This window comes from Homo sapiens, chromosome 13 (genome assembly GCF_000001405.40).
Source record: "Homo sapiens chromosome 13, GRCh38.p14 Primary Assembly".
NCBI lineage: Eukaryota > Metazoa > Chordata > Mammalia > Primates > Hominidae > Homo > Homo sapiens.
The window spans coordinates 83866854-83888934 of record NC_000013.11 but is presented as its reverse complement, the minus strand read 5'-3'; the positions used below and the strand labels follow the sequence as shown (position 1 = coordinate 83888934).

At 36.1% G+C, this 22081-nt stretch overlaps 1 protein-coding gene across 2 annotated transcripts; it reads left to right on the top strand.

Annotated features, from left to right (window-relative positions):
- SLITRK1 (SLIT and NTRK like family member 1) lies at nt 6461-11730 on the top strand. Of its 2 annotated transcripts, NM_001281503.2 has the most exons (2): nt 6461-6931; nt 7375-11730. In NM_001281503.2, the coding sequence occupies exon 2, from the start codon at nt 7428-7430 to the stop codon at nt 9516-9518; it is 2091 nt and encodes a 696-aa protein (NP_001268432.1). In that variant the 5' UTR covers nt 6461-6931; nt 7375-7427; the 3' UTR covers nt 9519-11730. The 2 variants fall into 2 exon arrangements, with proteins under 2 accessions (NP_001268432.1, NP_443142.1); NM_052910.2 differs by having other exon boundaries at nt 6542-11730.

The following is a 22081-nucleotide window of genomic DNA, read 5'->3' as shown; positions in this document are numbered from 1 at the left end:
ATTTTTATACATTTTGTAAATCCAATCGATAACCTAGAGTTAACCTCACTGGGTCTTTAGATTAATTGTTTTTAACAATTTATATTCACAACAGTTAATTTTATAATTTACTTCCTTTTTCAAAAACAGGAATACAGTCCTATCATTAGCATCATCATAAATTATTGGTTGTTGACCAGGTGCATTTTACTGTAATAACTCTTTGGGATATACAAAATGTATATCTCATTTTCTAGATAAAAAATTATAAATATATGCATGATAATACATGATAAGATATGTCAAGTGCTACCTAAATAATTCATATATTGCATCACTTTACCAAATCCCTGGTTTGTGAATTTACCTTGCCTCTGAGCCTTTTTACCCTTGTGATCTGTTCCACAAAGTTTATCACTATCTCACATACTACCTTATTTCTGCTGGAGTGTACATCATACCATATTTTGTGCCTGGTATGCTGCTAGGTGTTAGATATTAAAAGATAGAAAATCTTATCCCTCTCTTCAAGAATGTTATACTTTATTGAAAACTCAGTCTTTCAAATAAGTTATTTTTTTAAATTAAAAAAAGAACACAAAATTTAGTAGTTGTTCTGCTGAATACCTTAAGGAGAAATGCAGTGAAATGTATAGGTGGCTTTGTCTGGAAATGATCCAAAGAAGTGATATTAAACAAAAACATATCTTAAAAGTTGAAGAAAAATCACAAAGACAATGTACTCAATAAATAATCAGAAATTGAACTGTGTTTGCTCAAGTAAAGTGAAGCGTTGGCTTCACTTTAATCGTACTGAACTGACCTGAAAATATGTTAGTGAGGCGCGGTGGCAAGCCTGTGATCCCAGCACTTTGGGAGGCTGAGGCGGACGGATCACCTGAGGTCAGAAGTTCGAGACCAGCCTGGCCAACATGGTGAAACCCCATCTGTACAAAAATACAAATATTACCCGGGCACAATGGCGGGTGCCTGTAATCCTAGCTACTTGAGTGGCTGAGGCAGGAGAATTGCTTGAACCCAGGAGGTGGAGGTTGCAGTGAGCTGAAATCATGCCTTTGCACTCCAGCCTGGGTGACAAAAGAAAAGAAAAAAGAAAATATTCTAAGTAATACTAGTGTTGGCAGAGGTTTAAGGAAATGGCAAATCTCATTTATTGCACATGGAGTGTAAATTGCCAAAAATTTTGGGAACACAATTTGTCAATTTACATAAAATATGTTAATATTTTTCCTACCCTTTGACCTGGGAATTTACTGTGGTTTGGATATATGTCCCCTCTAAAACTCTTGTTGAAATTTTATCCCCAGTGAGGCGGTACTGAGAGGTGGGGCCTTTAAGAGATGACTGGGTCATGAGGACTCTGCCCTTATGAATGAATTAATCCATTCATGGATTAATGGATTCATGGATTATCTCAGGAGTAGGACTAGTGGCTTAATAAGAAGATGACTTGAGCTAGCACATCAGTTCCCTGGACATGTGATACCTACATTGCCTCAGAAGTCTTCAGAGTTCCTGCCAGCAAGAAGGCCCTCACTATATGCATCCCCTTTGACCATGAACTCCTCGGCCTTCATAACAGTAGAAAATAAATTTATTTTACTTATATATTACTCCATTTTAGGTATTCTATTATACACAACACAAAACAGACTAAGAATTCTAATTCCAGGAACCTATAATAAGAAAATAAATAATGATGTTAACATTGATTTATGTTTAAGGTGGTTCTTTGCTGCATTATTTATGAGAGTAAAAATTCTATAAAGAACTAAATATCCAATGGTAAAATTAGTCCTATGAATTATTTTGTGTCATACAAGGAATTAAGTCTCTGATAGTAGAAGATGTTTAATAACATTAAAATTTTTCACAAATAAATGTTAAGTACAAAAAGCATGTTAAAAAGTATATGTATATTTTTACAGCACTAATCTCTGTGGATTTCAACTTTCTTTTTTGTTGTTTTCTGTGTTTCCTAAAACCTATGTAAGTAATATGTATTTCATTATCTTACAATATAATACATACTTTGTAGGAAACACAGACTTTTTCTTCTGTGTGTGAGTATCTGCAAGGTCTTGTGAACATATAGAAAATACTAAAACAAGTGCTCAAAAAGTATATACTTAAGCATCAATTAATATAATAAACAATTGTGGAAATATAGATCCTTCTCATATACTTGTAGTGTGTGTAGTATAGTGTGATATATAGCTAAGAGTATTACCCTTACTGGGCAAAACTTTGGTTGCCTTATTCATGTGAAATAACAAAAATAATAAATTAGAATTTCTGAATATATAAAATTATATTTTGATCAGTATTCTTTCCAATAAGCCCAATATGAGATTTGTTACAAAAATGAGACTATATGAGAAACTCATAGCCAAACCTATGGCCCAAAGTAATAAAAAATATAAAATGATATAAACATAGGACAGTGATACTTTAAGCCACAAAGTAAAACTGTACATTCATTTTGATGTGTTTTACTGAGATTGCTATTTCTTTGATGAGAAATAAAAGTTGCTAAGTTTTAAAAAGCAATATACTATAAAAGAAATACTATAAAAATATTGTATTAACTTCACCTTCAGAAATTGTGTAATATCTTCATTATCGTAGCACCCAATTCCTAGAATATTACAATCTACAAAAATAAGATATGAAAATATGTGTGAGAATCTTACATTCTAAGCATATTTGTTTATAGGTACAATTCATTTATAACCCTGTCTTGTAGTTTACAATTATTATCTCAAGATGAAAAAAATCACAATGACCCCTTTATCTTATGACAGTAGTAGATTAAACTTAGGACTAATGAATTCTCTCCTACAGTGGTTATACTGTTTATTACTGGTTTCAAATCATAGTAAATATTAAATGTGGTAACAATTATCCTGAGTTCAAATGTGAAAAGTCTAAGGAAGGCAAGAGACACTAGGTCTGTTGTAAAATCATTTTTAAAGTGTTTTGGATTCAGAAAAAAGCAACGTGAAGGGACCAAAAAAATCATAAACTATAATATATACTAGTATGTGTTAAATATACTAGTAAGGAAACTGATCCACAGAAAGCTTAACCAGGGTCATAAATGGCATTGTATATTAAGAACAAAGAGAGACTTAGTAGAATAAAAGCTTAGTTCAGGAGTCTGTAGCTTTGTTACCATAACAAAGTCAAATGATATTTTTTAATCTTGGTAAATTAGTCAATGTTACTTAGCCTCAGTTTCCACATCCATAAAATAGGATCAAATTCACTATTAACCAACCAGTTATCTTTAGTTCTCTGCAATAAAAAGTATTGTGGATGAGGGAAGAGTAAAGATAGACTTCCTATATGTAATTTTGTATTTGTTAAATCAAAGTATTACTTTTACAGTTAAAAATTAGAACAGTAATTTTTAAAGTTATTGTGAAGATTAAATAAACTGGATAAAAAAAGTTAGTTATAAATTCTACTTTTTCATTTTAAAAATGTAGTGCACATATGGAAATATCTAGAAACTTGATGCCATTTGGGAAAAAATGGATAATTAACTGGCAAATTTCTTCTTAGTCTGAAAAATTCTTTATTGAACAATCAACATACACCTTTTCTTGTTTGAGAGGAGAACTTGTTTGATGAAGAATAGAAATGTGTGAACATTTAATGACACAATTGAAATCTTTCTGGTCACAGCCAGGAAATTAAACTATAGCCCTGAGCAAATATTATCAATCATCATCATCATCTGGAATATCCTTTATCTCCAGCTACTGAGATTATCTGTTGAGAGGCAAGGCAACTGAAGGAGTTCACTTGAGCTCAAATAGACAGCGTGGAACCCTTTTAAGAAAAATTCATGCCTAAGAAATATTCCCCTAAGGTATTAGAAATGTTTAGATCACATATAAATCCCTTATATTTTTATTCTCCACCAATAAATTTATTGTTTAACTTGAATAGTTAGGCTTTGAAGTTGTAGGTGTGGTTTTCTAGACCGTTTTATGTCTCTAAAATATATTTATTATGAAAATATTATGATAGCTATTATAGAGGGTCCATTTCAATAGACTTACATGTGTACCTCTATATTTTGCTTGCAAGTTTGTATTGGAGATCTTCATATAGGCGGTATAATCTTAATCTTTTCTTCTCAGGTTTAGTTGCTCATCTGAGAACTACCACACTTTTTTCTTAGAGTGCAGAGATAAGAAATTATTTGAAGAGGATATAATTTAAAAAATTTTGTAAGATACCTAAATAGGAGAATCCTAACTGTAAATTTTCTATTGTGATTGGTGTGTTAAGAGGAAAGAAGAAATAAGGGATGAGAGAAAGATACAGAATTTAAAGGGTGAAGAGGAGAATGAAATCTGAATACAAACTGTAGGTTATCTAAATTCATTTAAATCAACTTAAATATGTTCTTGGAGTCTCTTCACATAAAGATAATATTCTGTAAGTTGAAAAAAAATGTAACCTTTTAAGGTTAAAAATGTGGGTTTTAGATGATTGTCCTTTCTAAACAGCCAGCATTTTTCTGTTTTCCTTGAGTCTTGCCTAACCCTATTAATCACAGACACCATAAGGCTGATTTCCTTTCTCAGAGTGGTTTCTTGGGCCAAGATATTTTAGACCTGAGTCCTATTTAAGAAGAAACAGAAAAATGATTTCCTTCAGTTGAACTCCTCCACATCTGCAGTTCTCAACTGCATAGCATTTCTTTAGCATAATGGTTTCAAATTGATTAAGGTCTTTTTTTTTCACTCTCTACATGTGGTAATGGGTCAAATTAAATGAGAACAGAGTTATTTCAGAAGTGTATCAGGATGTCTAAAAAAGATCTCTCTAGTGTACACACGTGCACACACACAAACACACACATGCATGCACATACACACACACACTGAAATGTCTTCATCCCCACCTCCCTTCACTGAATTTCACCAGAGGAATACAACAAAAATATTTTGTCATATGAAAACATTGTATATAGATATGAAATTTTCTCCACCCACCTAGAAATTAGATTCTGACCCAGAAAAAAAAATCTTGTAAACATCTTTAAGACCTTCCCTAGCCTTGGGAATTTTCCCAACCCCAGTCCTTTCCCCCAAATTTTTACTCCCCATCTTTCTCAAAATACACACTTCCTTGAACATTTGCTCTTTTGCACAAAATATTAGCAAGCTCGTTGCAGCTGTCCAACTTGCAAAAGACCTAATTAAAAAGGCAAGTGGTGTAAACATATCCTCTCTGCATAGAGTGAAGAAAGGGCCAAACAGTAACTCTATTTAAAAGACCTAAAAATTTCAAATCCTAAAATGATCTATAAATATTTTAGGACGTATTGATGTGAAAAGGTGTCGACTCTGAAAGGAAAAGTCAGCAAAAGAGGCTTCACGGAAGCAGCATGTTCACGTTTTCTTCCATCCCAGAAGGTGATATTACTGGATTTTTATAAGCTCAGAGTTTGGAATCTGTTGTTTCCTTAACTGGAAAAAGCCTGAGCTTCGTGTTTCCCCAGCATCAGTGACCCAACAAGCATCTGCGCGAAGAGGAGCTGCCGGCTACCTGCAGAGAGCGTTCTCGCTGAGCTTTAGAGTCCAGAGATTTCTATCTCCTCCTCTCAAAATGCAACTGGTTATTTACTTGTAAACATTTAAATTAGTTCAAACTGATGTGAAAACTTTGTCAGTGGGGTGTGTGTGTGTGTGTGCGTGCGTGTAGTGTGCGCGCGCCTGCCTGCCAGTGGGTTTTTAACAGCACTCACAAATCATCTTGGGATTTTTCCCTGCCCCCTCTCCCTTCTTTTCCGGTTCTCAGTTAAAGCTTTCGGGACTGGAATCAAGGACTTCAGCATGCATTGTGTTTCACCCTCCAGAGTTAAATAACATTCAAGAAATATCAAAGAACCTAACTCTCAATGACCAAATTGACTAAATTTCTGCAAGTTTTAAAAAGTATATGCCTAATTTATATACCTTGCAAAAAAATTCATACTCAATTATGATATTATGTAACATATATGTTCCGAAAGCCACTTTGAACATACCAAAAGAAATGTTTCAAAGACATCAAATAGCGTAAAACACTGTGCCGCAGAGAAGGAAGAAATGCATTTAAAGAACCGATGAAAATGGCGTGCAGTATAATTACCTCAAATTGCTGTTCGCTTGACACCCTGACACTAATTTTATTCAAGCCATTGGGAAATAAATGTTTTAAAAGCACTCCTTTCCGAATGGTGGAGCTGGTGGGGGCTGTGAACTCGTTAAGGAAAGGAAAGGGTAAAGTTTCCAGCACGCAAAAATAATCAAATAATCCATTTAAAATAAGCATCTATGTAGATCGTCAGCCTTTTATGCCCACATTTTTAACGCTTGCCCTGTACGTGGATTGATTTTTTTTTCTTTCAGCATTCCCTAGCCAGATGGATTTTTGCTACTGCAGATCAGCAGAGGGTGTCAGATCTTTCAGAGTGCACCAGGCTGGAACGAGCAGAGCTTCTTAGCAACTCTCTTCTCCGCCCCCCTCCCCTCATTCTCGCGCTCTCTTCCTCCCTCAGACAACTCGCCCCCCGCCCTCCGCCCCCCTCCACGTAATTCCGAAAGAGCAGAAGAAAGAGAAGGAGAACAGGAAAAGAAGAGCTAGTAAGCGAGAGCGAGAGCACAGAAAAGAAAAAAAAAAGCCTTAAGAGGACCGAAGGGGAGGAAAGGAAAAGGATGGACAACCACAAAACGCAGCGATTGCGGAAATTTTCCAGCGCCATTGGCTGGGCAGCGTGAGTCCTTCGGTCGGGCGTGATTTCAGCACCGGGGGAACTGGACAGCACCTCGGGGGGACTTCTGGGCAACCCGCAACCACAGCAAGAACTCCACCAGCAGCCTCAACAACAGAAGCCGCGGAAAACCCTGCTTTGTATCAGAGAGGCAAGGTCAGTCCGACGCACAGCCATGCACAGGCAGTGCGCCTGTACTACGCTGCAAACCCTCTGCTTGTTTCTCTAACATGCACTTGCTTCTAATTACTAGCATTGTTTCATTTCTGATCAGTGAAGATCAGTAGATGAGATTCTGTAAGGGTGTACTTTTAATTTATATGTATATATTTAACTTCTTTTTCTGTTATTTTTAAAGTGTTGTGGGGGAGTGGGGTTTTTTTCCTACTTTTTTTTTTTTTTTTTTTTCTTTGCTTGCCTTGCACTACGTGCCTGGATAGTTTGTGGATATAATTATTGACTGGCGTCTGGGCTATTGCAGTGCGGGGGGGTTAGGGAGGAAGGAATCCACCCCCACCCCCCCAAACCCTTTTCTTCTCCTTTCCTGGCTTCGGACATTGGAGCACTAAATGAACTTGAATTGTGTCTGTGGCGAGCAGGATGGTCGCTGTTACTTTGTGATGAGATCGGGGATGAATTGCTCGCTTTAAAAATGCTGCTTTGGATTCTGTTGCTGGAGACGTCTCTTTGTTTTGCCGCTGGAAACGTTACAGGGGACGTTTGCAAAGAGAAGATCTGTTCCTGCAATGAGATAGAAGGGGACCTACACGTAGACTGTGAAAAAAAGGGCTTCACAAGTCTGCAGCGTTTCACTGCCCCGACTTCCCAGTTTTACCATTTATTTCTGCATGGCAATTCCCTCACTCGACTTTTCCCTAATGAGTTCGCTAACTTTTATAATGCGGTTAGTTTGCACATGGAAAACAATGGCTTGCATGAAATCGTTCCGGGGGCTTTTCTGGGGCTGCAGCTGGTGAAAAGGCTGCACATCAACAACAACAAGATCAAGTCTTTTCGAAAGCAGACTTTTCTGGGGCTGGACGATCTGGAATATCTCCAGGCTGATTTTAATTTATTACGAGATATAGACCCGGGGGCCTTCCAGGACTTGAACAAGCTGGAGGTGCTCATTTTAAATGACAATCTCATCAGCACCCTACCTGCCAACGTGTTCCAGTATGTGCCCATCACCCACCTCGACCTCCGGGGTAACAGGCTGAAAACGCTGCCCTATGAGGAGGTCTTGGAGCAAATCCCTGGTATTGCGGAGATCCTGCTAGAGGATAACCCTTGGGACTGCACCTGTGATCTGCTCTCCCTGAAAGAATGGCTGGAAAACATTCCCAAGAATGCCCTGATCGGCCGAGTGGTCTGCGAAGCCCCCACCAGACTGCAGGGTAAAGACCTCAATGAAACCACCGAACAGGACTTGTGTCCTTTGAAAAACCGAGTGGATTCTAGTCTCCCGGCGCCCCCTGCCCAAGAAGAGACCTTTGCTCCTGGACCCCTGCCAACTCCTTTCAAGACAAATGGGCAAGAGGATCATGCCACACCAGGGTCTGCTCCAAACGGAGGTACAAAGATCCCAGGCAACTGGCAGATCAAAATCAGACCCACAGCAGCGATAGCGACGGGTAGCTCCAGGAACAAACCCTTAGCTAACAGTTTACCCTGCCCTGGGGGCTGCAGCTGCGACCACATCCCAGGGTCGGGTTTAAAGATGAACTGCAACAACAGGAACGTGAGCAGCTTGGCTGATTTGAAGCCCAAGCTCTCTAACGTGCAGGAGCTTTTCCTACGAGATAACAAGATCCACAGCATCCGAAAATCGCACTTTGTGGATTACAAGAACCTCATTCTGTTGGATCTGGGCAACAATAACATCGCTACTGTAGAGAACAACACTTTCAAGAACCTTTTGGACCTCAGGTGGCTATACATGGATAGCAATTACCTGGACACGCTGTCCCGGGAGAAATTCGCGGGGCTGCAAAACCTAGAGTACCTGAACGTGGAGTACAACGCTATCCAGCTCATCCTCCCGGGCACTTTCAATGCCATGCCCAAACTGAGGATCCTCATTCTCAACAACAACCTGCTGAGGTCCCTGCCTGTGGACGTGTTCGCTGGGGTCTCGCTCTCTAAACTCAGCCTGCACAACAATTACTTCATGTACCTCCCGGTGGCAGGGGTGCTGGACCAGTTAACCTCCATCATCCAGATAGACCTCCACGGAAACCCCTGGGAGTGCTCCTGCACAATTGTGCCTTTCAAGCAGTGGGCAGAACGCTTGGGTTCCGAAGTGCTGATGAGCGACCTCAAGTGTGAGACGCCGGTGAACTTCTTTAGAAAGGATTTCATGCTCCTCTCCAATGACGAGATCTGCCCTCAGCTGTACGCTAGGATCTCGCCCACGTTAACTTCGCACAGTAAAAACAGCACTGGGTTGGCGGAGACCGGGACGCACTCCAACTCCTACCTAGACACCAGCAGGGTGTCCATCTCGGTGTTGGTCCCGGGACTGCTGCTGGTGTTTGTCACCTCCGCCTTCACCGTGGTGGGCATGCTCGTGTTTATCCTGAGGAACCGAAAGCGGTCCAAGAGACGAGATGCCAACTCCTCCGCGTCCGAGATTAATTCCCTACAGACAGTCTGTGACTCTTCCTACTGGCACAATGGGCCTTACAACGCAGATGGGGCCCACAGAGTGTATGACTGTGGCTCTCACTCGCTCTCAGACTAAGACCCCAACCCCAATAGGGGAGGGCAGAGGGAAGGCGATACATCCTTCCCCACCGCAGGCACCCCGGGGGCTGGAGGGGCGTGTACCCAAATCCCCGCGCCATCAGCCTGGATGGGCATAAGTAGATAAATAACTGTGAGCTCGCACAACCGAAAGGGCCTGACCCCTTACTTAGCTCCCTCCTTGAAACAAAGAGCAGACTGTGGAGAGCTGGGAGAGCGCAGCCAGCTCGCTCTTTGCTGAGAGCCCCTTTTGACAGAAAGCCCAGCACGACCCTGCTGGAAGAACTGACAGTGCCCTCGCCCTCGGCCCCGGGGCCTGTGGGGTTGGATGCCGCGGTTCTATACATATATACATATATCCACATCTATATAGAGAGATAGATATCTATTTTTCCCCTGTGGATTAGCCCCGTGATGGCTCCCTGTTGGCTACGCAGGGATGGGCAGTTGCACGAAGGCATGAATGTATTGTAAATAAGTAACTTTGACTTCTGACAAAAAACAAAAAGTGCTGCATGGCTCGCATGGAATCCACGCGCTCCAGGGACTCTGCCCGCCCCCGCGACTGGAGACGGCATCTCGTTCACAGCACCCACCCTCTTACCTGATAAGTTCCATCGTATCAAACTTTCTATAAACAAAATACAGTATAATCAGAAAGTGCCATTTCGCCATTATTTGTGATCGGTAGGCAGTTCAGAGCATAAGTTAACTGTGAAAAAAATGTAAAGGTTTTATTTAGGACATTTGCATGGCTAGTCATCAGTCCATTTTATGAGTTAACAATGTATTTTGTTGAGGGAAGTTTTTAGGGGTTGTTTTGGGTTCTTTTATTTTGATGGTGATGTTTTATTTTATTTTATTTTTTTCAGGGGGTCTTTTTTTTAATACATATCCAATAATGCCTTCCATCTGAATGTAAAATAAGTACCCATGATTTCTATTATAGTATCAGTGTAATTATTTAAAAAATGATTTTGAGGCAGTTAAGCATGACCAATTAATGTCACTCTAGTGCTTAGGCTGCGATCCTATGGTAGCAATTCTGTGCTGGTATAAATCTTACTTATAAAGTAGGAAAAGAGAACCGAGGAAGCACGTGAAACTTACTAATTCTATTCGAGGATTTTATAATGGCATATTTTTTCAGTATTAAAGCGAAAATGTTTTCAACTCTGGGTCCTTACCTTTTTCCAGCTTCATATTTGCAAGTGGTAAATTGGATTTGCGGTGGAAGAGACAGGGGAGGGAAACGGTTGGGGTTAGATCCCTTCCTGAGCTACATTAAGGCTCTTTCTCTAATCGCCTTACTTAGCTTTTTACCCTTTAAGTAGCTCCTCTTCCCTCGCCCCCACCCTCTACCCCACCCCCACCTTCGCTCAGACTTTACCGGCTTTCCCCAGTCCATAAAGGTCTTGCCCCAACACTCACCCCTTCTTTTTTTCCCCTCTCCAAATGCAGCAGTGAATCCCTTTATTAATACTGGAAATCCCTCTCTGCTGCTTTTGTTGGTGCTGCCCACACTGCAGATATATTAAGGATGTTAGGAGAGATTTGATTTAATTGACTCTGCCTAGATAGGTCTCATTAAACAGAGTGGAGATTTCATTGGTCAGCACTCCTCAATGAAAGACAGACCTAATGACTGGCATTTGAGATGCTGCTGGCATTTTGAATTCAACATCTGCTGAAAACGGTAAAACTAATTAGTGCCCACCCACCCTCCCCGCCCCAGCAACTGCATATTGAAATTTGTTAAAGCACTCATCTTTATGGAAATTAATCATTATCCTAAAGAAGTGTTTCTCTCCCATCATCCGGATTTCTGGTTGTGGCCCAGCAATTAACAAAAACAGCTTCAACTGTTCGAATTTTATGAACCAATGTAACTCTGGCCTCAATCATATTCCTCTGGGATTTCTAAACAGCAGTTAAGCTACAAAAAGCAAACAAAACCACACATATTGATGGAGTCTGCATTCCACCACATATCCACCCTTGAGAAGTATGTCAAAAGACTGCAGACTATAGATTTTTTTTTAATATAGGATTATAAATCAGCTAGTGAAAGACCTCAGAGCAGTTGTAAGTAGATCTGCCATCTAGAACTCATATTCTAAAGGGAAGTGATTTCTCAGAACAGTGATGTTCTGGAATATGTATTATTTATTTTAACACTTTTTTAATAAAATCTTTATTATAAACCATGACTATTCCTAAGGCCATTCATCATTTTCTCTCTTGATTCTTTTGTTTGTGGACTGCATTTCATGACAGTAAACCTGCAACCTACTCTCCTCTGACAGATATTATGGGTTGTTTTCTATTTATTAATTTCTTACAGGATGGCTTTATTCTTTTTACAGAAAGTACAACTGGGTTCTCGGTAAGCAATCAACAGATTTACTTGTGATGGAAAAATTAGGGAAGAAGAGGCATACATTCGACAATGTTATGACCTTTAGAAAGAAAAGAAAAAATGACAGATGTAGAAACAACATCTCTGGTGGAAGGTGACATTTAATGGCAGATATCTAGTGAGGTATGTTAGTAATTTTGAAACTGATACATGACTAATCTAGGTCAGGAAACTAGAACTTCTCATAGAAGATGTGCACAGAGGCGAGAACTTTTCTTCATTTTAATTGAAAAGAAATTACAGTATAGAAACCAAGGTTAAAGGGGTAAAATTATTTTTAAATAGTAGTTTCAATGGTTTTGGAGTATTCATTGTGTGCCACGCATGTGCTAAGTGATTTACGTAATTATTTAATTTAATCTCCACAACCACAGGGCAGTTAGTAAGATACTATTTCCATTATACAGATGAGAAAATTGAGGCTTAAGAAAAGTCAGCAGTAACTCTGGTCATACATGGTAAATAGTGGAGTGGAATTTAAATTCAATTTTCCTTGTACTCAAAGACCTTATATTTTGAGTAAGTAATCACGTACATTTACCTGATCAAGTTCTTAAGGCAATCTTAAAAAAAAAAAGCATTTATGAAAATACTATGTAACAAATTAGGCACTCAGTTTGTATATTCACAGCCAAATATGTATTGGTGGCCCTTTATATTTCCGATATTTCTTGCAGCAACAGAAATTTGCCCTTCATTCAGTGGAGATAACTTCAGTGTGTTCTCCAAGAGTAGTATATAAGAAGACACAGCACATAAAAGAAAAGATGAGTGTGCTAAATGAGTTCATAAATTACAGATATTCAAATGATTGAAACTAAATCATCTATATATTGACTCTAAAATTGTAGGACTATCAGAATATTTTAATAAATAATATATGTGAAAATCTATGTACAAAAGATATCCAATAATTTCATGTATAAGAACATTTGTTTATTTAATCTAGCAGGGTTTTATTCATTTTGATAAAATATCTCTGTAACAATTAATTGATATACATTAGTTTTATACAAGTATATGTTAGTTTATAAGATACATAATACATTTGGTCACACCATGTAACTTTCATTTTAAAATACTTAGCATCTTCTCTTTGTTTTGTCTTTGCATAAAATGTTCATGTAACTATAGTTAATCATGTACATTAGTTGAGATATCTTGTTTCTAGTTAAATCATTCTTTAGTTCATTAAAGTAAAAGAGATTTTAGTTGTGCCCAATGGAAAAGGAGGAAAGAAGGATCTTGTTTAGTTACATTGCCTAAGAGGAAGTAGTAGCTTCTGTGGCTGCTGCTATAACTAAGAATATCCTAGAATTTAAGTTGTTGCCATAGAAATTTATTGTTTAACCATTTTTACATGCTTACCCAAGAGGAGACTGAAATAGTTAATATAACATTAACATAACAAGATTCTTTGTCTTAACAGTATTTATATTATATGTACTTAGAATTGTCAGAAATTTTAATGTGTTAAAGTTATATTGGTGATTATAAAGACAGTTTGTTAATTTAGCTTTTTCGGATTTCTAATGTTATTTAGTAGGTAGAGAGAGGTAGATGAATTTGCAAGGGTGAACATGGAAGTTCTGTTTATAATGTGTTAGTGTAATATTGAAAATAGTGGTTTCTAATTCAGCAGTCCTGCTAATTTATAAATCTTATTTTTATTTGTATACTTATTTAAAGAAAAATGGAAATATAAAATGTGCTAAATATTTAATTTTAGCATGTGTTAACTTTTGATACATTTTCTCTATTATTGAAATCTATTCATTTAATCTAAGAGATGAACTCTGCATGATATCAACAGATATAGCACATGCATACTGAAGATTTTTAAGTTACATGATTTGCTTTAACATGGCCCTGAACCATAAAGAGGGCTAAATTAAATACCTTTCTTATAATCCCCTGTCATTTTCTTTCATCTATAGTGTTATCAAAATGTTATTATAACATGAAGACATACAAAATTTTCTTCTTGGCATTGAAAAGAAATGCTACTAAGTGGTTTCATGAAGCCATCTATTAATAACAAATTTTGAAACGTGAGCTAAATTTGTTGTGACCTATTACAATTTGTTATGATCTACCAAAACTCGATCAGATTTCAGAAAAAAATTGAATAGTTAAGATAATAACAAATTAAGTGTTTAAAAACTACAGTTTTAAAATGAAATAAACCACTGAAGAAATCATCTTTGATGATTAAGCCCAGTATAACCCTTTCCCTCAACTGACTAGCAATTTCACTTTATTGGCTTAGACCTCAATAACCAATTAATTACTCTTTTTCCACTTACCTGCTAAATATATATTATGTTACACACTTGAAATATAATTACATTTTATACATGAACTTCACACAAAGGTTATTGGAGAATTACCTAATAGTTTGAAGACTTTTGAATGTGTTAGACATAAATATTCAATTGGCAACATTAATTGGGCACTTGCCACATAAAAAATATCATAGAAGCTCTCTTGGGAAAATAAGGCACTTCAACCCTCAAGTAGTTTATGCCCCACAAAGGTGAGATATATACATCATTGGAATTATAGACCAGTGCATAACTGGCAGTGTTTAAAGAATGCCACTAGAACATTTTGTGTTTCTTTCAAGTAATTTAGGTTTTGAATCATTTGAAAAAGTGCAATCATTACATCAGTTTTATTAGTCAAATAGATGAAAATCTTAAAACAGTGTTTTAAATGATAGAAGTAATTTAATTACTTCAGTAGTGTTATTTTCACTTCTTTTTCTGTGAAATGGGAATAATTCCTGTTATTTTATAACTTCATGAAGAGTTTTCTAACAAGCATTCTAAAAAGAAATAATCAAACCAGTTTTTATCAGGACAAGTGAATGACTGATAATTTTTCAATTGTACTTATCTAAGAAATCAGACATGACATTAGAAAATTAAATAAAATATTTTATATTATAAGAAGTTTAGAAACAGTCTCTGGGCACTTAGGTTTGATTTTTGTTATTTATATATATAATAGATTTAGATTATAGAAGCTTTAATATAATATTGTATATAATTTTACAATTTTACCGTAAAGCTAATAATCATCTTGCTATTTTTTTTGTTTAGTAAAACGTAATATTCAATTACTTAGTAGTAATGTCCAGATGCACAAGTCCAAAGGTTTAACAAGCAGGAAGGAATAAGCTAAGCCATGCATTTACTGACTTATATGTCTTTTTCTCTTTGCTTCCAACTCCATTTCTTGGCAGAAGAATACACGAATGAAACATGCTCAGCTGTAGCATATCGATAGAAAAAGTCAATATATAGTGAAAAATGAAAGTGCCTCAAATATAGATGATAAATGGCCACTCCACAGCATTATCAAAGAAGCAGTCTTTGCTTCCCAGGGAAGGAGGATAAGTGGAAAAGGGTCACTAGCACCATAAACAATAATGGCTGTTACCAGATTCTGTGACATTGACTGTGCACTTTTCCATTTTAAATCAATATCTTGTTTAACATTTCCAAGCTGCATATGAAAAAAAAAAGAAATTCACATCATTATGATAGTAATAGGATTTGGATAATATTCTGTGCTTATATAGAGTTTACTGCCTCTTCCATAAAATAATAAGATTACAAAATAGTTAAGGAATTTGAAACTATGCATTGCCTCTATACTGTAGTAGAATCTGTATATTTTAGTCCAGGTATTATTATTTATTAAAAAACCTGTCATATAATTAAAATAATTCTACATGACTAAATTATTATATCTGAAATATTTTGTTCTATTAAATATGACATGGTATCATACAATAATTATGTACTAATTTATGTCCAATTAGATAAATTTTGTAGCGAATTTGATTTAGTTGTGAATCCAGTTAACTTTACTTGATTGGGCATATTTACCATCAGTGTGTTTTTTGGTAGCTTATACAGTAAATTGTTGGATATGGCTTTGTCATAACTAAGTTGATATTAACGTTAGTGAACTTCTCAATGTTTTTAAATCATGGATGTAAATTGGCTTAACTAATTATCAAATGAATCTAAAGAGATTGAAATGACTAAGTTACTTAAGTAAATAGTTTAATGCTATTAATCCCTCTTTTTTCTCAATGACTAAATGTTTTCCTATATCTCAGCACATGCTTTAATGAGAGAGAGAACCCTTAATTTTTTTCTTGATCAGGAAATGTTACTTTTTTAATTTTTCAGCAAAACTTTGATTGGATGATATTTGTATTTTTCACCATAACAGTCAGCGCTCCAACAATCAGATTTCATGATACAGATGGTATTTGGAATAATGAGACATTAATACGTAAAAAGTAGAGTATTCCAGGAGGGTATTTTATCTTATGAGAAACAAGACTTGAAGCCGAGAAACTAACAGCTGGAAATAGCAGTAATCTCCAAGAATTGAATTACATGGAATGTCATGTTACTATTTTTTTTTTTTTTTTTTTTTTTGAGACGGAGTCTCGCTTTGTCGCCCAGGCTGGAGTGCAGTGGCGCGATCTCTGCTCACTACAAGCTCCTCCTCCCGGGTTCACGCCATTCTCCCGCCTCAGCCTCTCCGAGTAGCTGGGACTACAGGCGCCCGCCACCAAGCCCGGCTAATTTTTTGTATTTTTAGTAGAGACGGGGTTTCACTGTGGTCTCGATCCCCTGACCTCGTGATCCGCCCGCCTCGGCCTCCCAAAGTGCTGGGATTACAAGCGTGAGCCACAGCGCCCGGCCGTCATGTTACTATTTTAACTCAAAATTTATAACATCAAATTAAGAAGAAAGTAAGATGAGAGCACATTTGAGCATTATTTGCATGAGTATGACATTACTAATAGCCAGTTGAAAGATTTTTATGCTACAATTTTTTACAAAATAGAGCCTTTTTTTTCAGTATTCTTTTCATGGATAGCTAATATTTTGCCTATTAAATTTCCATCCCTACAAGCCCAATTTACGTATTTGATGAGCAATTAAATCCTTATGTCGGCGAAAAGAGTCAAACACTGTAAAATATTTTAAGAGATTTATTCCGAGCCAAATATGAGTGACCATGGCCCATCACACAGCCCTCAGGGGGTCCTGAGAACATGTGCCCAAGGTGGTCGGGGTACAGTTTGGTTTTATATATTTTAGGGAGGCATGAGACATCAATCAGATACATTTAAGAAGTACATTGGTTTGGTTCAGAAAGGCGGGACAATTCAAAGCGGGGGCTTCCAGGTTACCGGTAAATTTAAACATTTTCTGGTTGACGGTTGAGTTTATCTGAAGACCTGGGATCAATGGAAAGGAATGTTCAGGTTAAGATAAAAGATTATGGAGACTGAATTTTATTGTGCAGATGATTCTCTCAGATAGCAGACTTCAGAGAGAGAGCAGGTTTGTAAAATGTTTCTCATCAGACCTAAAAGGGTGCCTGGCTGTTAGCTGATTATCCCTTGGATCTGGAAAGAAAGGAAGGAAAACGAAGCGGAAAAGGGATTCTCCATAGGATGTGGATTTTTCCCACAAGAGATTTTTACAGGGCAATTTCAAGGTATGGCAAGGAAATATATTTTGGGGTTAAATATTTTTTTCCCTTGTCTTGTAGTGTTATGCCAGAGTCAGACTGAAAAGTAAGTCATGATATATAGGGTCAAATAAAACCCATCTGATGAGAATTTATGATTTGTAGGGCATGACTCCGTAGACCCCTTAGGTAGGAATTTGGGCAAGATAAAAAATTCAGAGCTTAGTCCTCACATAGACTGGAAACAGGGTTATTCTGTTTTATAAATTCAGGATTTTTAGTTCATAATATATGAAACTGGTACAACATACTACCAGAAGATAAATTTCAACCTATATTTATGTTGTCTTTTAAACGATGAATGAGAAATATTTTCACTACAGCCTTTAAAATAAAGTGAGTTCTTCAGAATACAAGTGTCAGTAGTAAATGTATCATATAGCCCAAAATGTTTCGAGGAGCCAACATAGCATTATGTTAGGGAGCTACATCTTAATTATACCAAATTCAAAATACGAAAAGGAACAGGAAAACAAGTGGGATGATAGCAATTTTACCTTGATTGATAGAACAACCATATATGATGCAAAAATCCCACTACTAGGTATATACCCAGAAAAAAAAAATCAGTTTATTGAAGAGATATCTGCTGTCCCATCTGCAGTATTTATAATACATATATTTATTGATCATTTACTATATACCGGACACTTATGCGGAGATTTTAAAGCTATACAGAACAGACTATGCTTCTGTTTACCTGAATTTACATTCTATAGAGGATTACAGAAGAACATAAAACAATAAGTAACAGATAACATAAACTTGAATACTGAAGAGCTATGAATGAAAAAAATGATCTCCTCCTTTCTTTTAGGGTCATCAGAGAATTTCTCTCTGAGCAGATAAGACTCGAATTATGTGAAAAATGATAAGAAAGGAACACGCATTTTAATATTTGGAGCAACAGAGATTTTGGAAAATAAATCACCAAGTACAATATATTGTAATTTAAAAATGTTTGAAAACTAAAAAGGAAAAGTGGCTGAAGTCTGGCCCCCATAGCAGACAAACATAGAGAGGCAAAGGTAAGCCAGATAATGCTTTATAGGTTATAGCAAGTAATTTAGATTATATTTCAAGTATAACAGAAAGTTTCAAACTCACAAGTGATATGATCAAAGTAGTATATTTAGATAACCTTTTAGGCTTTTTAAAAAGTGGAATGAATTATGGTGTCAAAGTACAAGACAAACAGCTACTGTTGTAGAGTTTGGGTAAGAGATGATGGTATCTTGGACAATAGTGACAGCAGTGGAGATGGCTGGAGGAATATTGTTGCTGTGGGGACTAAGAAAAGGAAAATAATTTTGTGATTTTTTTTTTTAATCAACCAACTTGACTAACTTGACTATGCCTTTTATTGAGAGGAAAAGGCTGGAGGAAGCAGGTTTTAGTTGTAGAGTTAACTTTAGTATTTACATTTGAGATTGCCTATTTACATATGCTGGGTAGGCTGCTAATGGGCATATGGAACTCAAGGAGCGTTTAGGAAGTAAAATATGGACTTAGAATTTAGCATTACTCTTTTATTGATGGCTACATTTTACAGATTAAAAACTAAACCTTTGGTTGCATTTAACTGGTGTACTTTATCTTCAAGGAAGATTTATTGAAAATTAAATGTAAACTTGTTTTTAGACACAACTAATATAGAAAAGGTATGAAACGTAATTGATATCTGTAATATCTGTAATTTTTCCCCAAACCAGAAGTTAGTAAAATATTATTTTCTGAAAATCAAGTAAAAACAGCTAAAATCGTGTGGAAAAGGATGAAAATAGATTGTGACATAAAGGTACAATGTAAAGCTTAACTTGAAACGCTTAAGTTCTGCTTTAATAGGCATATTTCAGAATGAGAATGAAGTAACTAACCTTATCCATTACCACTGACTGAAGACTTAGACTTTTATTTTCTAAGAGGAAAGATTTCTGACAAAGAAAGCTTATCTTTAGTAATCAACACAAGAATGAGAATCAGATTACTTTTATTTGGTAGTTAGTTAAATGTTGGTCTCTGTTTTGGAAGGTTTTTATTTTACCTTTGCTTGTGTACAACTCTGTGGTTTGACAAGCTCTTCAGAAAACATACACAACATTTGGTATTGAGCCCAAACTTTGTGTAGGCAGCACAATTTTTGTTAAAAAATAATGTTTTCTTTATAAAACCATTTATGTGCACATTCAGCTCACTATCATTAACTGTCTCTAATCCTTAACAACCTAAGTCTAATTGAACTTAATTTTCTAAGTAAATTGTGATTACTTTTTTTTTCTTAATTTTAGTACTGCTGTAATTCAGATAATAGTTTTGGATATGATATAAGAACAATTTTTCCCCTTCGTAAAGCTCTGAGTAGCTTTAGTTATTTCTGTATAGATTTGATACCATATTGTAAATACCCTGCTTATTTTTTAAAAGAAAGTTAAAAGCTGGATGAAAGCACTGGTTAGTTTCTCATAATACAGCCCCATGTTACTACAGAGTTCAAAGCCCTTGGAATCATTTGGGGGTCCACAAAAATGAACCTATGGGCAGAGAGTCTTGATTCTGGATTATGTTCTCCTCTAACTAGTTCTGTTAGGCAAGTCTTTTGATTTTAATAAACCTCAATTTTCATATTTACAATGAGACTGTTGGACTAGAATCAAATTGTCAGAAAACATTTTTTGTAAGGGGCCAGATAATAAGTATTTTGGGTGTTATGGGCTAAGATGCAAAATCAAGGATATTATGTTGTTATTATGTACGTAAGTATATTATGCAGATATTATGTGTAAAATAAGAGAGAAAACAAATTCCCAAACATTTTTATTGGCAAAATTTAAACTTTATTTACGGGCACAAAAATTTGAATTTTATATAAATTTTATGTGTCACAAAATATTATTTTTAAATTTTTTTCAAGCACTTAAAAATATAAAAGCCATTCTTTGCTCACAGGGAGCATAAAATCAGGTCTGGTATCAGAATTGATCTGGTATCAGAATTGTTCTGGTAATTTGCCAATCCCTAGGTTGAACTAACCATAAGGTACCTAATACAACTCAAATTGGATTTTTATTATATGTTCATTAAAATGTCTTCAAAATATTTTACTTTATACAAATTGTATAGAATTTTCAAAATTATATAGAACATTTGTACATATATTTTCCTACTCAATCTATATATTTAAAAAATTATTCCAGTTAATTCATCCAAATATTGTTGTAAATGTAGTATAAAAGTAGGCCTGGAATAAAACCATGGTTGAAGAGGATTATAGTAAATTAATCATATTTGATCAATTGAATGTTCCTAGGAGTCATATATCAGTTAAATTTCTCTATTTTGCCTCTTAGTGTACATGCTTGAGCCCACTCTCCAGACTCCTCAGATATTATTATTTGGAAGCTGCTGATTACCAGCTTCAAGTTTTTCTATCTATTGGGGGACTGCTTGTCCCTGTGGCCAGCTGCAATCAATTATTTTAGAGAGACAGCTAGCAACTGCCTGACCATCACATGATGGTCACCTGACATTACTGGTGTAGGGTTGGGAGGGGGAGGTCTCTCTCCTGCCCTGCTCCTCTCTGACTAGCTACCTGCTTAGTAACCTGTAACTGTACCATTTCTAATAATAGCTCTTGGAACTATCAACTGTGTGAACTTAACCAAGTTACTAACCTTATAGCATGTTGATTTTCTTACCTATAATACATGAATGACAACAATAGTACCTACCTCAAGCAATATAGTGAATATATCAATGTGAATATGAATGTGAAAGTGTCATGAAAGAGAATATAGTAATCGTTAAAACAACCGTTGAGACATTATGAAGTTTCAGAAAGAATTAGCTATTTATTAATAGGAGAGAAAAATTTTATAATTTTTAAAAATCCTCAAAATAATCCTATCTGGTAGGCAATTTTTAAAATCACTATTTTATAAATAAAGAATCAGGATGAGAAAGCAACTTGCTCAAGAGTACACCGCGAAGTGTCAGAGCCAAAATTCAAATCCAGGACTGAGGGACTTAAATGCATTTTAACTTGATGAAAGATTGTCAGTGTCTATCCACCTAAATCTTCTGTGACACTTTTCTGACACCCACATGCTTGTTGTTTTTCCTGGGATGATAGGTATACAATGCTATCTTGTAGTCATATTTCACCATTCCATATCTACCATGAAGTAAATACATGATTTTTAGAATTTAATACAATTAAATTCACATCCTTCCTCACTTGTTCTACTCATTGGGCCGTAACTGATACTCTAAAATGTCATTTCTCTTCCTTCTGTGCCTCTACCAACTAAGCTTCATCTAAATCTCTTCATGGTAGCTGATTTTAGCCAGTCTATAGAAAGAAACAAAAACACCTCAAACTACATAGCCCTAGGATGTGATGAAATGGTTTAATAATTTTTTTTGCAAGAGATGTGATGTTTTAAAAAATTTAATAGCAGTGTGGTAGTTTAAACAAGTGCATGTTTAATCCTAGCGTTTCAATGGGCATGTTTGGCAGAAATAGTGCTTCTTATTGCATATAAATAAAATATGCTAAGGAGCCAAATCACCTTTTT

Excerpts from the sequence above, each read along its gene's own strand:
- SLITRK1 (NM_001281503.2), top strand. The coding sequence starts at position 7,428 with ATGCTGCTTTGGATTCTGTTGCTGGAGACGTCTCTTTGTTTTGCCGCT.